Raw genomic sequence first — 14,087 nt, 5'->3', positions numbered from 1 at the left:
TCATTCATTCAAACTGGCTTTACATATACATATTTCTTTTTTAATGGAATAATGAATACGCAAAAGGAAGGTATAATATTGCACAATCTCTGTGTAAAAAATGAAATTTTATTAGCCGGGTGTGGTTGCGGGGACCTGTAATCCCAGCTACTCGGGAGGCTGAGTCAGGAGAATCGCTTGAATACGGGAGGTGGAGGTTGCAGTGAGCTGAGATCACGCCACTGCACTCCAGCCTGGTGACAGAATGAAACTCCATCTCAAAAAAAATACATAGTTTTAATTTTTCTCTTTTTATTTTTATGTCAACAACTTAGCCACTTTCAGACCAACTCAGAAGTAATGAGGAAATCCAGGGTTATTAAACTCATTTCAGGGTTGTAAACACCCACCATTTGTCTTCCTATTGTGAGTTCTAAATTCCAGGTGATCTTATTTAGTTTCCAGGCCATGGTGGGGCAGGAGAACACTGATTGGAAAAATTGTCTCTATATGAAGAGTATTAACATTGTTGCTATGTATCCGGAAATAATTTCCTATTTGTGTCTTAACTTGCAGCCTCTCTGTATTGCACATTTTGCACTGCATAAATTTTTTACCTAAATTCTACATGTGAAGAAACTATGTTAAAAAAAATCCAGTGGGAATAAACTAACATCTTAATTGGTTGTAATTAATAACCATAATTCAGTTGAAATTCTAATAGAAATAGAAAGCAATTGAATTTGTTTTCCTTGAAGTTCAGGTCACAAGATTTTTCATTAGCTACAAAGCCTGTGTCCCTGGATGAACTGATCTTTATATCAGAGAAATATCTGGAAAATTGCCAGTCTAGCAACCCCAAAATCTGACCAATAGCATTGACCCTGAAATAATTGCTGGGATCTCTTTGGTTCATAACTCTATTTTGAAAATGAAAGAAATACATATAGGAGTTAAAAAAAAAAACTTCAGGCAATACAAAGAGCAAAAAATAAAAATGTTATCTTTTTTACTATTAATTTCTGCTTCCCCCAGCCCAGATTTTATTATATGAAACAGGGGCTGACAAACTACAGCCCAGGGACCCAATCTAGCCCTCCACTTGTTTTTGTAAATAAAGTTTTATTGGAACATAGGTGATATGGTTTGGCTCTGTGTCCCCACCTGAATCTCATCTCGAATTGTAATCCCCACATGCCGAGGGAGGGAAGTGTTTGGATCATGCGGGCAGTTTTTCCCATGCTGTTCTCGTAATAGTGAGTGAGTTCTCATGAGATCTGATTGTTTTATAAGTGTCTGGCATTTTATCTGCTCACACTCACTCTGTCCTGTCTCTGCTTAGACTCACTCCGTCCTGTCGCCTTGTGAAGAAAGTGCTTGCTTCCCCTTCTCCTTCTGCCATGATTGTAAGTTTCCTGAGGCTTCCCCAGCCATGCGAAACTGTGAATCAATTAAACCTCTTTTCTTTATAAACTACCCAGTCTCAGGTATTTCTTTATAGCCATGTGAAAGCAGACTAATAGAACAACCACTCTTACTCCTTTTTTGTATTATCTATGGCTGCTTTCTTGATGCCACAGCAGAGTAAGTAGTTTTAAGAGAGACTGTATGGCCTAAAAAATTTACCATCTAGTCCCTTATGGAAAAGTTTACCGACCCCTGAAAAATGACAGTAGACTACACACATTGTTCTACCACTTGCTTTCTCACTTAATAATAGTGATACATTCAAGATATATATAGATCTACTTCTGTCTTTATAGTGATGGAACAGTATTTGTTTAAACAGATTCCATAATTTGTTTAACCAGTCTTTTAGGTTGTTTTCTGGTTTTTGCTATCATAAAAGATGTCATTTTCATGCATTTGTGCCAAGCACATCTGTTGGGACAGTTTTTACAGGTGAAATTAACAGCGCAAAAGTTCTGTGCATTTTTAATTTTAATCAGCATTGCCAGTCAAATACAAAAAGTTTTGTGACAAAACTGATTTAGAGTTGATTCAGTTCCCAAGTGAGACATACTTCTTTTGTTCTCCCTTTTGTTTAGATAATTCTGGGCAGAAAAATATATTCAAAGATTCTGAGTAAGATAAAACAAGTAATAAGGAAGGTATAATCTGTCATGAGATTAGAGTTTAAGAAACCAACAAAAAAGGGAAGGTGTAATATAGCATCATCTCTGTGTGAAAAATATAACTTTAAAATAATACATATTCATAGAATTGAAAAAAGAGAAAAAGGAATAATAAAAATTATGGCTTTTAGGGGACTTAAGGAAAAATAGAAAACTTTATTTTACAATTCTCCAGAAAAAAATCACTTATATTTTGCCAAAATTACTTTATACAGTAAATTATATATTAAGTAGACATTATTAAGTTAAATAGTGGTTTCAAATGTTGGTAAATATGTCTTTAGTTGCAAAATTTCAGAGACAGGCTGCACTTTATCCTGATAGAAGTCAAGCCCAGTGAGAAGTTCTACATCACGGACCCGGGCAATGTGAGCTGTAAATCTTTCTTCAACCCAAAGAGCTTCTGGTTTACCTTCCTGAAAAAGAAAAGCACAACACTTTTTTTTTCACAAGGCAGTATTTTTCATGAACAGAAATATTTTTATTGCTTAGAAGTTGTCTTTTTGCCGATGATTTTTACCTCCTTAAATCTTAATTTGATACAGCTAAATTTAGTTTTTAAAAATAAAAAGAAAACACAAGTACAAAGTATACTATAACTAACATAGAACACCGTTGTCAAAATTTATCTATTTTTATGTTTACTTCAGATGTAATTTTTTTAATGAAATTAAATATTGCAGATGAAGTTAAGTCCCCAGGGCTCCTCTGTTCAGAACTAAACATCTTTATATCAGGGTGAATCCAGTCTGTTTTTTCAAACTTTTACTGTACATCACTATACAATATGTAGTACTGATGAGTTTTTAAACTTATGTTAATATTATAAGTGGTATTCTACAATTTTTTTCATTCGGTATTAACGTTTGTAATCTATAGTGATATATCTAGGTCTTGTTAAGTGACTTGTTCTTAGCTGTGGTTTGTGATATTTCCTCATTTAAATGCAAAACAATTAAATTTTGCGTTACATATTGATAAAATTTTTGTTACTATAAATAATGCTATAATAAATAACTTGGTATATGCCTCCTGTGTTCAAGAGCATGAGTTTCTAGGATATATTAATAAAATTGTTGGGCCATAGAGTACATTCAAATTTTTTTTTTTTTGACATTGTCACTCTGTCACCCAGGCTGGAGTGCAATGGTGTGATCTTGGCTCACTGCACTCCAGCCTCAGCCTCCCAAGTAGCTGGGATTACAGGCACCCGCCGCCACACCCAGCTAATTTTTTAATATTTTTAGTAGAGATGGGGTTTCACCATGTTGGCCAGGGTGGTCTTAAACTCCTGATCTCGGGTGATCCACCCACCTTGGCCTCCCAAAGTGCTGGGATTATAGGCATGAGCCACCGCACCCGGCCGAGTACATTCAATTTTAACTTTATCAGATATTAAACCTAGCACTCCTCAAAGTCTTCGTACCAATTTACAGTTCTATAGGCAGTGAAAGATAATTCCCATTTCCCCACATCTTTGCCAAACCGTGGGTGTAAAATAGTGTTTTATGTCTGTTTATATTTTATTATGCTGACTATTGTTTATTTATGCATCTTTTCAGTTATTTCTTGACCTTTTTATTTTGGATTTTTTTTACAATATGAAAGTTAGTTCAATAATTTAGAAACATGGGTTTCTATGACATTCTTTATTCTTTATTATAAAGAATAATTTTCTGGTATTCATATGATATTGCTAAAGTTCAGTTAACTTTTCACATAATAAGAAAGTTTCAAAGTTTATTTAATCAGATTACTGTGTTTTCATGATTCTCATTTGACTTCGATGCAGTGGTTTACTTGTTTAAGTATGCAGGCTTAATACAGATAGCCACTATCTGAGCCAGAGGAAGAGTAAGAGGAAATACTTTTTGTTCCTAACCATTAAAGCACTTGTGTCAGATTCACAATGCGAGCTAATATTAAAAAAAAAAAAATGCGCCATGTTAGAGTTATTTCTTTCAATGGGAATCTAATTAGAAGTTTTTCTCTTCTGCCTTTACTATTGCACATTTCAGCAGCACCTAATATCTTTGATCACTTTTTTTTCCATAACATTTTCTCCCATTTGGTTTATACGACTCTACTCTCTCCTGACTTACTTGGCATCCATCCAACTAAATGTTTACCCAGCACCTGACAGTCTTCCCTTTTTTAAATTTGCAGGGAAATGACCACAAAGCATAACACAAAACTATACTTATGCAGAGACGATACTTCAGCTATTTAACCTGAGTAAGTCGCTGGCACCAACTAATCTGAACAGAAGCCAGCTGTAGACAACTGCTCTCGCTGCACTAGTCCATGCCAACAGAATAGGCTATACAGTTTTATGAGCTATATTTAAATATACTTTGATATTTATATGTGTGTGTGTGTGTGTGTGTGTGTGTGTGTGTATAAATGACCTGTTACAGAATTAAGAGTATTGTATATCCCCAAAATACAACTCATTTTTTGAGGCAATATTGATTTCAGCATTTTTCTGCCCTATCCACGTTCTTATTCTCTCTCCTTAGCCACTTACAGTCCAGTGATTGCTGTTATCATGCTAATGCAACTACTTTGTCAATGATGACCTCACTGAATGGGTTGTCCTCAGGCTTTTCAATTAGTTAGCTACCCCAGGCTTCTGAAGTTCCTCCTTTGTTATCCATAACTCTACTGTTTACTTGTTTGATAATACCTTCTGTTTCCTCAGATGACTATACTTCCTGGAAGCATATTTTCCTCAATTTGATTTGGGATCTTTTCTTTCCACTTTCTCCCCTTTGGCAATTGTATTTCACACCAATGATTTAATCCCAAATCTAGATCTGCAGTTCTGATTTCTCCTCCAAGTTCCATACCTACATTTTCCATATCTGCTGAGTAACTTACAATGAAAGTCACTTGGACTAATGGCTACATTCTCATTTATCTGACAGAATTTTACAGTACAAAGATGACAGGAGGAGGGAAAAGGAAAAAGGAGGGAAGAAAAGATGAAAGGAACAAGGAAAGGACAAAATAAATAAGGAAATATGATCTAATTCCTTACACCAAGTGTGGGATAAAATTGTGAATCTATCATTCCTATAGCTTGATCTCAGTTCCCTGGAACCTCTTAATAGTAGGAGTACTTCTGTACATTGTGTAATTCAAATATTTAAAGTACAGAGTTTCCATACAATGCAATGTTTAAAGCCAGCCATCTATTTTATCAGGTGCATCAAAGCACAATTACCTATCCAAATGCTATTGGAAATATTGGCTGGTTTAGACTTACTAAGAAACAGTTTGTGAATGTACTACACTTTCTGGATGATTTGCATATAGGAGATTCAATTTCACTCTCTATTGACTTTATTTTATTTTATTTTATTTTATTTTATTTTGAGACAGAGTCTTGTTCTGTTGCCCAGGCTGGAGTGCAGTGGCCTGATCTCCACTCACTGCAACTTCTACTTCCCAGTTTCAAGAAATTCTCCTGCCTCAGCCTCCTGAGTAGCTGGGATGACAGGCATGCACCATCACACCTGGCTAATTTTTGTATTTTTAGTATAGATGGGGTCTCTAGTAAAAGGCTGGTCTCGACCTCCTGACCTCAGGTGATGTGCCTGCCTCGGCCTCCCAAAGTGCTGTGATTACAGGTGAGCCACTATGCCTGGCCTCTGTCGACTTTAGAATGTAACTTCATCCTAAGATATGATTCCTTTATAATAGCCACCATTTTTTATATTGGGAAGTCTTAGGGTTTTATATAGATTATTTTGTTTAATCTTTACAAACTTCATAAAAGGAGGTGAATATTTTATACTTATTAGATATAATAGATGAGGAAACTAACATATTTGCCCAAAGAAACGAAGTCATTCACTGAACCCAGGAGGTCCAACTCCAAAATCCATGCATTTAAGTTCTGTTTTATACTATTTCTCATATATCCTCCTAAATATTCAACTAGTCTGTCAAACTGAAGACCACCAAGAGCAAATCCATCCTTCTCAAAACAAAAGATAATCTATCGTATACATTTCCTGGTCAGTCATGCCCTGGATTTTTAGTCATCTTTGCCTCTCTCTCATCTTGCCTTTCCCTTCCCCATATCTAATTGACAGCTACTCTTATTAACTTTGCAATCTCTTTTATAATCATAGCTTGGCTTAAGTTTTCTTTATACTCATTGCATTTTGTCTAATAATTATCTATACAGATGTCACATTCTTATTACTATACTGCAAATTCCTCAAAATCTTGGATATGTCCAATTTATTACTGATGATGTCCTATTCAATAGAGATGATGCTCTGTTAACTTTGGAGAGATCACTTCTACTTTGAATAATCAAGGAAAGCTTCATATTATTTGCACTTTACCTTGACGCCCAGATGGAATTTTTAGCAGATGGAAAAGAATGAAATTCTAGAGGAGAGAAGAACATAGGCAACAGTGATGAGGTAAGCAAACTCAAGATGTGTTCAAGTAATTTCAAGGACTCCAATTGACCTGGAACTTATAGCCTGTAAGGTCAACTGAGGGTAAATTGTGAAGAGACTTAAGTACAGGCTGGAAGTTGTTTTTGTTTGTTTCTTTGTATTTTTGTTGTTGTTGTTGTTGTTGTTCAGGATAATCAGAAGTTTTGGGGTGAGAGGCTATGACAAAATATAAACTAAATTTTAAGATGAGTAAGTTGGTAGTAGTGCACACTGACAAATGAGAAGAGGAGAGGAGACCACAAATCTACTTAAGATTCATTTTCAAGAGTCCTAATAGAAGGTCAAAAGGGCCCAGACCAGGGATAGCAAATATTTTTTTCTTTGTGTACTCATTGTAATCACTCCATCATATCTACCTAGAACCTCTGTAATAACGAACTGTTTAATCCAGATTTCATGGTAAAGAGTACCACATCGTATCAGTCATTGATGTCTGTCATTGGAAAAGGAAGTAAAGAATAATGGCTTACCCTTGTCTCAACCAAACAAAATGCTGACAGAAAAAGTAGGAAGGGATTCAATTCAACAACATCTCCTGATAGTTTCCTGTTCAGAAACTCTTCTTCCTCATTTTAAGAATAGTGAGTGGCTCACTATTCAGCCTCTAAACTTGGCCACCTTCTTTAGACAATTTAAACACTCAAGTAAAATCGTATCTACATGACCCAACTGAAATGTCACCCTCCCTGTCAAGAAGTAATTCTCCTTTGAAATACTACTACAGCAGTTTATCTGTCCCTCTCTTACATCACTTATCTCTTTCTTCTAATATTTTACTGGATTTCTAATTGTGAGCACCTCCTATAGTGCACAGCATGGTGAAGGCACTCATGCATTGAACACCTGAAAGAATATAGATGAATCCCAATCTGGCCTAGATCCCAAGCTTCAATTCTCAGGCTCTAATTGCCTATGGGACTTTCCACATCAATGCCCATTTCCACAAACTTAAAATGCCTATCCTTAGCTTATCCTATCTACCTGCCAAAAAGTTCTCATTCCCAACCTTCCTCTTTCTGCCTTTTTCCTAATTACTAACATTCAAATCTGATTCATCTTTGAGTTTCCTTTTGGGGTGGGGGCTCTTGTATCCAATCAGTTACTAAATCCTCTTCATTCTTCATACCCACCCTCCATGGAAGACTCTTTGTAGTCTTCTCAATATACTCAAATTCTATCCATCTTTCAGGGCACAGCCCTACTTACACCTTATTTTATGAAATCTTTATTGATCATTCCAGCCAAATGTGATTTTAATTTCAAATATTAAATCCTTTTAACATTAATTGTCAATTGATCCCAACTTTGCAACCTCTTTTACTTTTTAGTTTTTAGAATAATTCTTGTATTATTGACTGACTAAATTGTGTGCCTATATCTCATATATAAACTGAAGTTGTATATGAACTCTTTAAAAGCAGGGACAATGTGTTCCTCCTTTGTGCATTCTAAAGAGTTTCTATCATGATACTATGTGCTTAATAGGTACTCAATATGTTTGTTGAATGACTTCAGTAAAACCTAAGTTCCAGGATACATATTTTTTCTATAAGGAATTTATATGCAAGTCGAATTAACTACTTACATATAATCTGCCTTGATCCAAAAAGGATTTTGAGGTAGCCTAATAATGATGTTTAAAAAAAGAATGTTACTTGCACTGTGTGTGTGTGTTTGTGTGTGTGTGTGTATAATCAATTTCACACCTCATGGTTCAAGTTGATGGAATTTTTACATGTATATACTCATTCAGAAACATTAATTTAGTGCTAACATTGGGAAGAACTTTAAGATTTGTGGCCAGAATAAAAATAAGTTCTGGTGGTTCTATTACACAGTAGAGTGGCTGCAGTTAATAACAATGTATTGTATATTTCAAGATAGCTAGAAGAGAGGACTTTGAGTGCTATTACCACAAAGAAATAAATGTTTAAAGTGGTAGATATGTTAATTATCCTGATTTGATCATTATACAAAGTATGCACGCATTCAAACATCTCACTATCCTCATAAATACATACAATTGTCATGTTATAAATAAAAAAAGAAAAAAGAGATTAACAAGATTTCACCTCTTTCATTATTAGTGAATGTGAATAAAACGTATATAAATAAAATACATGGGGTATATATATGTTCAACTATGCAGATATATGTTTAAATTGATATTAATTACATAGAGATCAATAGCCTAAGGAAAAGCCTAAAAATGAAGTCATTTGTGTTATAACTTTTCCCATGAAACACCTAAAAAAAATGTTTTAGTCAGAGCCACTTTTATGAGAACCCAAATGAGCTCTGACTCATTTTCTCGGGTCCTGGACCCTCCCAAAGCATACTCACAGGACAGCTCTCCACGTTGGTAGGTCGGTGAGGGATGATAAAGGGTAGGACATCCAGCCACCCAGGGCAGTTTTCCGGTGTGTGGCTCTTGTTTTTACAACTGGTCAGCACCACAAAGTAGTGTGTTGGGATGGGAACATCAGTGTTGGCTAAATGTCTTACAAACATAATTGAAAACATGTTTTGATGTTATTATACTTTTGTTTCTAAAGGTGATAAGTGTGTTTACATAGTTTTTTTCATATACATGTAAAATAATAATTCTTATAATTCTAAGTTTGACAGCATTTTACTATATGCTAGGTACTTTTTAAATAACTTACATACAAAGTTTTAAGTGCAAAATCTGACTCCACCAAAGGAATACAAGCTGGTATAAATATGTAAATATATATATGAAAAACACTATGTAAAGACACACACACATATATATATATATTTACTTCTAATGGTACTTTGGATTTTTTTTTTTAATAGAGATGGGTTCTCACTTTGTTGCCCAAGCTGGTCTTAAACTCCTGGGCTCAAATGATCCTCCCACCTCGGCCTCTCAACGTGTTGGCATGACAGGCGTGAGCCACTGCACCAGGCCAATAAATGTCTTTATATAGTTTTAAAGAAATGCCAAAGTAAAAATATAGTAAAAGAAAGTAATAAATAAAAAGCACAAGGTCTTACATATTTTTTGCTCCCATCAGCCAGAATAGAGATTACAGTAGAAGTCCAAGCTTGGTCATTCTAACATGAAAAAATGTTAGAATACAAAAAAAAAAAAAAAAAAAAAAAAGCAGAGCATGATATTCTGCCTCCTGCATTTCCTCGTTTTGTTGACTTCATACTTCACAGTAGTGTTTACTAATACAGCAGAAGCTGAGAATGAAGGAGCCCAGATTCCACCTCCAGCCGTGCACTTCCACAAAATGTTTGGACTTTCATTCACCCTCTAATTCTGTCATTTACCGAGTTTCGAGTTTCCTCAGCTTTCCAAGGAAGTGATTCTGTGCTATCAACTTCACAGTGTAGACATGGGGATAAATCCATACAACTGATGTGACAGTACTTCGGTTTCAGATAACGAACATGAAAGTGCTTTCAAAAGTTTTAAGTGCAAAGTCTGACTCCACCAAAGGAATACAAGCTGGTATAAATAGAAATGTATTACTGTGATTTAGAACATGGACTCAGAGCCAGGCTGTCTGGGTTCATATTCTGGCTTTACCACTTATTAGTTGCAGAATTTAGATAAGTTGTTTAACCCCAGTTTCCTTAACTCTAACTGGGGGCTAATGGAACCTAACTAGGGTATCTTTGCAGTTTAACTGATGTATATGTGAGTTCTTTATAAAGTACCTAGCATATAGAAAATGCTGTCAAAGTTTGAATTATTAGAATTAATAAATTGTGAAAGGTAGAGTCAATACTGAAATATTGATTCAGTATTCATTCAACACTGAAATAAGGACATGGTGAACAAAATAGAAAAAGGCCACACACTTGGTAGTCATAAATGTTACTTTATCAGAAGGTATAGGTAGAAATCATTGCTTTACATAATCTAGGCTTAGACAGTACAATTGTTTAGTTTGGTCCTTCATATGTTTTGATAATAAAGAGAAATGGTAGATGAAACTTCTCTAAAACTCTATTACTGTGCTCTGCATTCAAAACTAATTCTTAGCAACCTGTTATGACCAGGCTTAATACTAAAATGTACAGTTTAGTTAGGACTAGTTCTCTGCATGAAATTTACCTACATTGTCTCCTGGGAAGTGCTTTTATGAACTGTTCACTATTCTTGTAAAATTTACCTTAGTCTTTACTTGACTTTTCACTATTCTTGTAAAATTTACCTTAGCCTTTACTCGACTTTTTTTTCATTTACTGTTGGATTGGTTTTATACTCATTGATAGTACATCAAGTTTTGTCTACCTCCTTAGCCTTTACAAAATTTCATGTTATCTTTGCCCATTAATTCAGCAATTTTCCAAATAAAATTTTGCTAAACTTTTCCAGGAAGTGTTTTCTTTGCCCATTAGTTTAAATTTTTTGCAATATAAGCTTTCCTAAATATTTAGATAGACTAGATTGAAAATAGTCAACAATAACATTTGTCTGTGAATGTATTATGTAATATTTAAAATACTGAGCTTTACTTAAAATATTGGAATTTCCCCTCATGAGACCCTATTGATAAATCAAAAAGTCAAATCACTTACTTGGTAATTTCATCTGGAGCATCAAAATGGCCATCATAATTATAATCAAATATTGGTCCACTAACCACATTTACTCCATTTCTTTCTGTGGCATGTTTTATAAGAAGAACACTGTGGAAGTAGTCCCACATTTCTAAAAATAAAATCATAAAGTGTTTAAAATGTCCACTTCAGTGAAATATGACACTATTTTCTATTATAGACAAGTACATTTAAATAACATGAAATTCTGCCTTAATAATTGCCAGTGATGATTGGGTAATTCTCCAGAATAGGCTTCACAAGCAAAAATAAACAGCCACATTGATGATAGCTTTTTGTTTTTGTAGTTATTGTCTTGAAATTACAGTTAAATATGCCTTCAAATTTCTCCCTAGGGCTGAGTTGCTTATGGGACAGCGAGTGTTAAAAATGATCAGAACACACATGTTGCCTTATTAATTATTACTCTGGGGATAAACATTTACATTTGATTTACTTTTAGTGAGTGGCAGTAATCAAATTAAGGCTTAAAAACAAATTATCAGAATTCTAGCAACAAGTCACTCAAAGTCAAAGTAAGTTGAAAAGAAACTATGTGAGGGATCCTTCCTATACCTATATTTAAACCATTAGAACAAAATGACCCTTAATATCAGGAACAAATTGCAATTAAAAAAATATGTGTTTAGTTTGGAAGTTCAAGGAGTCACTTAACTATTTTAAAATTAATACTCTAAATTCATACTTACTTCTGAATTCTTCATACATAGGTACCAAATTGCTAGTAATTAAAGCATCATATTGGCTATCTGATGTTCTATTGCTGGCTGCAAAACAAATGGATCTTATTAGATCTAGCTATAAGAGAAAATATGACATACTGCACAACAGGCATACTACTATTACATATTAATATAAATTTATTAACAGTCAAAGCACAGAAGTAGTACTTTCTAACAGAGGTTGTTAATAATGCAGGCAGTTTTATGCCTGTAGTGGGTTGAAGTGTGATCCAAAAAAGATACATCCAAGTCCTAACCATTCCTTTCATCCCTGTGAATATAAACTTATTTGGAAATAGGTCTTTGCAGATGTAGCTAGGAGTCTCTAGATGAGATTATCCTGGATTTAGGGTGGACTGTAAATCCAGTGACTAGTGTCTTAATAAGGAGAAGGAGATTTGGGAAGAGGAGAAACACAGGGGAGAAGGTCTTGTGAAGATGGAGGCAGAGGTTTGAGTGATACCAGTACACGCCAAGCAATGCCTGGAGCCACCAGAAGCTGGGAGAGACAAGGAAGGATTTTCCCCTAGAGCCTTCAAAAAGAACATGGCTGTCAACACCTTGACTTTAGCCTTCTGACCTCCAGAACTGTGAGATAATACATTTTTGTTTTAAGTCAACCTTTTTTGGTAATTTGTTCCAGCAGCCCTAGGAAACAAACAGAATGCCAGATATAAATGGGTAGTTATTGGATGTGCACAAAATAATAATGTTATTATAGATAGCTGTCTTCCAAAATAAAATTTTCTGAAGAAAATGAGTTTTTACTTGATAGAGACTGATATGGTTTGGCTGTGTCCCCCCCAATCTCATCTTGAATTGTAGCTCCTATAATTCCCACGTGCTGTGGGAGGGACCCTGTGGGAGGTAATTGAATCATGGGGGCAGGTCTTTCCCATGCCGTTCACGTGATAGTGAATAAGTCTCACGAGATCTGATAGTTTTATAAAGAGGAGTTCCCCTGCACACGCTGTCTCTTGCCTGCAGCCATGTAAGATATCTCTTTGCTCTTCCTTTGTCTTCCCTAATGATTGTGAGGCATCGCCAGGCATGTGGAACTGTGAGTCCATTAAACCCCTTTTCTTTATAAATTATCCAGTCTCAGGTATGCCTTTATTAGCAGTATGAGAACTGACTAATAGAGACTGCTGAAGGGAACACCACAAATCATGGGCTCTGAGGATTTATGGCTGTGCTGTCTAGCACAGTGAGTGTTCAGCGAGGGTGCTCTGGAAGCAGACAGCCCAAGTGGGAACCCCAGCTCCGCTGCTCACAGCTGCACTCCTCGGGCAAAGTGCTGCATCCCTCTGTGCTTCATTTGTCTCATGGCATCTATCTCATAGAATTATTGTGAGGATTAAAAGCTGCAAACCTGTAAATGTTTATTCAAATCCTTTTTCATTTGATTTCATTTTGGTAAGAACACTTAACATGAAATCTACTCTGTTAACAATTTTTTAAGTATATAGTATAGTACTGTTGACTCTACGTACAATACTGTACAGAAGATCCCCAGAGCTTATTTGTCTTGCTTAACTGAAACTTTACGCCCATTAATTAGGAACTCCCCATTTCTCCCTCCCCCAGCCCCCAGCAACCACCATTTCACTCTCTGATTCTATGAATTTGACTATTTTAGATTCTGTAATATATAAGAACATGAATGAAACTTGAGGACATTGAGTGAAATAAGGCAGTCACAGAAACACATATAGTGCACAATTCCACTTATATGAATTTTCTATTATAATACTTTTTATACTTAAACTGTACTTGGATATCTTAACTAATTATTTTTTTTAATTACTATTAAGGCAGAGTCTGGCCATTTTACCCAGGTTGATCTCGAACTCCTGGACTCAAGCGATCCTCCTGCCTCAGCCTCCCGAGTAGGTGGGATTACAGGCATGCACCATCCTGCCTGGGTAACTAATTATTCAATGAGAGGCCAATAAGTAGGCACCAAAAGACAAGAAGAAACAAGTAGCTCTTTTTTCTTCAGATTTCATATGGTGTTTGTAGTTCTCAGACTCCACAAAAAGCCTCTTCTACCTTTTTAACTAAGCCCTGAAAGTTGGAAAGTCAATCAACATAACATTACCTCTGTTTTAGAGGAAAATAAGAACGTGCTAGTAATAGAACTTCTATTTTTAACAAATAATTGGAATTTA

The 14,087-nt window shown here is 35.3% G+C and overlaps 1 protein-coding gene across 4 annotated transcripts in view; it reads right to left on the bottom strand.

The window, feature by feature from the left end:
• The window catches only part of ENPP3 (ectonucleotide pyrophosphatase/phosphodiesterase 3), a 110,109-nt gene continuing 97,927 nt past the window's right edge, over positions 1,906-14,087 (bottom strand). For all 4 annotated transcript variants that reach the window (NR_133007.2, NM_005021.5, XM_017010932.2 and 1 more), the window contains 4 exons: positions 11,884-11,961; positions 11,153-11,285; positions 8,936-9,092; positions 1,906-2,530 (listed from right to left, as the gene is read on the bottom strand). Coding sequence is in view for 3 of the 4 variants with exons in the window: in NM_005021.5 (NP_005012.2) it covers positions 2,360-2,530; positions 8,936-9,092; positions 11,153-11,285; positions 11,884-11,961 (539 nt within the window). In the remaining variant the exon portion in view is untranslated. The remainder of the gene's footprint in view (positions 2,531-8,935; positions 9,093-11,152; positions 11,286-11,883; positions 11,962-14,087) is intronic.

Source organism: Homo sapiens, chromosome 6 (assembly GCF_000001405.40).
Source record: "Homo sapiens chromosome 6, GRCh38.p14 Primary Assembly".
Lineage (NCBI taxonomy): Eukaryota > Metazoa > Chordata > Mammalia > Primates > Hominidae > Homo > Homo sapiens.
The sequence above is the reverse complement of the archived record's forward strand: the minus strand, read 5'-3'. Positions and strand labels throughout refer to the sequence as shown.